This window comes from Homo sapiens, chromosome 8 (genome assembly GCF_000001405.40).
Source record: "Homo sapiens chromosome 8, GRCh38.p14 Primary Assembly".
NCBI classification, from domain to species: domain Eukaryota; kingdom Metazoa; phylum Chordata; class Mammalia; order Primates; family Hominidae; genus Homo; species Homo sapiens.
The window spans coordinates 72,316,272-72,318,673 of record NC_000008.11 but is presented as its reverse complement, the minus strand read 5'-3'; the positions used below and the strand labels follow the sequence as shown (position 1 = coordinate 72,318,673).

Below are 2,402 nucleotides of genomic sequence, written 5' to 3'. Positions count from 1 at the left end.
GTAATTTAAAAATATTCTGTCATAATTTCCAGTGTGACTTCACTAAAAAAAAATTAGTCATAATCGTGTTAGTATGTTTTGGATGGCTCTCTCTGTATGCGATTTTTTTTCTGTGATTTTCATAGATATTTAAAGGGAGGCAGTCAGGCAGGAGGAATTCCCTCTTATTAGAGGGAAGATCAGTCTTTTTGTTCCATCGAGGCTGTCAACTGATTGGATGAAGCCCACCCACATCAGGGAGGATCATCTGCTTTACTGAGTCTATTGATTTAAATATTAAACTCATCCAAATACATCCTCACAAAAGCACTCAGAAAACATTTGGTTAAATACCTGGGCATCCCATGGTCCAGTCAAGTTGACACATACAATTAATCATCACACTCTGTATTGCTTAAAACATATAATGCTGAAAGTGCATGTTAAATCTCCAAAATTGGCAGTGGTAAAAAATATGAAACATACATAATAGTGAAAACGTATGAACCAAAACATTGATTTAATCAATGTTTACTGTGACTATGTAAATGCCAAGCCCCACTGTTCTAGGCACACGATATAAGGTGGCAAACAAAGACAGTTTTCTAGGCCTGACAGAATTTACACTCAGTGAAAGACTGAGAGTAAAAGAATAAGCATATATTTACAGGACATGATTTCAGGGAGACACAAGTGCTGAGAGGAAAAGCAAAGTAGGCCCAATGGAGAGGGACTAGGTGGGTTGACAATCTGGACAGCCAGGATGTGAGGAGAGGAAAAGGCTGTCTTTATAGTTAATATTTTAGCAAAGACAGTAATGATGTGAAGGAGTGGGGCAGACAGAGATACAGGGAGGAGCATTCCAGGCAGAGGGAACAGTTCCTGAGATGGGAACAGATTAGTGCACTTGAGGACTAGCAAGAAGGCCAGGGTGGCTGCAGAACCACTTAGTAGTAGGGGTGCAGTTGGAGATTGCCAGAAGCCAGATCAGATAGGGAGCAATTAGCATTCATCAATTATCAATTAATAAGCATCTCTGCATCAATGTTTTCATTCTCAACTTCTTCCTTTATTTAATACATTAGAAGCACACTAAAAACCATAGAATAGAAAAAAAAGGAAAAATACCACAAAATTTGAAAATGTCTACAAACACTATGTTAATACACAACATGCCGCAAGGACACGAGTTTCCAGTTAAATAAGCAAATAATTATATTGAAGATAAACGTATCTCAGCATGAGAACATTTTACTTTTAGTTGAATATTTAAGTACTGAGTTAAATGTTTCATATTACTAGTTTCTGGATCATGGATTGCTTTGCATTGGTTCTTACTAGAAGTGTTAGCACTGTACTAGTTTCCAGATGTTAAAAAACTTTGATCATATGCATGGCCTTCTAGAGAAAAATGAAGGTAAATACTATAGTTTCATGTATTTCTGAAATATTTAGAGATAAAGAGGAACTTCTGCGGAATATTTAAGCTTGTTGTTTCCCAAAATGCATCTCCATGAAGCCTGAGAATCTGTCAGTCTTATTACGTTAGGAAAATGTAAACTACTTTAAGGATTTAAACTAGAAGAGATATAATATAGTGAATGACTTATAAAGTGATTAGGAAGGCTGAAGAACAAAAAGGAGAAGTAGGGGATGCTAGAGGGATTTTTTTAAAAAGGGAGAGAAATGAGAGTAAAAGGTCAGAAAGCAGCTAGTACCCCTAACTGGAACCTATGTGTTGCACTTGATTTTTGTGCTGTGGGTAGCTCTGCAGCTGCCAGCACTGGAAATGCTGAGAAGCTATTCTTTCTGACAACGTTGGAATCAAAGAGTGGTCACCAAGGTAGTAGAGTCACCAGAGAGGTGGTGCACTTCCTAGGCTGCTGGACTCACAGCAGCCCACCCCTTCTTGCACTGCCTTCATTGCCGGCAACTGTCACTACTGTCAGAGCAAGAACCACACAGGTTCTATTTTCTGGTCTCCTCCAATGCCTCCCATTGGCAGAACAAACAGGAAGCCAGCTGGCAAAGGCATCTGGGAAATGTAGTTTTCAATTCCCAAGCCCAGCAGCATTGATCAAAGAATAGAAATGTGTGGGAGCTAAGACCAAACAGAAAAATAACCAGCCCAGCCCAACCATTTGGCTAGTCAATATTCAAACACTGCCTTTACCCACATTTAAGCTTCCAGACAGCAATAACACCCTCTTTATGCTTCCACCTAGTATGATGCAATTAAGCCTTGTACAAGTGAAGATGGTCTTACCCCCTCTTAAAAACAAGCTGAGATACAAAGATCCACCAATCATGTTATTCATCTCTTGCTCAGGCACAATCTCATCTGATTATTCTGTACCCAAGAGTCCAAATTATTAAGTAAACCACCACAGGACTCATAATATAAAATTGTAATGAAAAGAAAG

The 2,402-nt window shown here is 38.8% G+C and overlaps 1 annotated feature.

Moving 5' to 3' along the window:
• Positions 1,834–1,883: an enhancer, noted in NCBI's record as "active region_27528". NCBI's record gives its function as "activates an Ori minimal core promoter by ATAC-STARR-seq in GM12878 lymphoblastoid cells {active_cell/tissue: GM12878}" and the evidence as "EXISTENCE:reporter gene assay evidence [ECO:0000049][PMID:35858748]".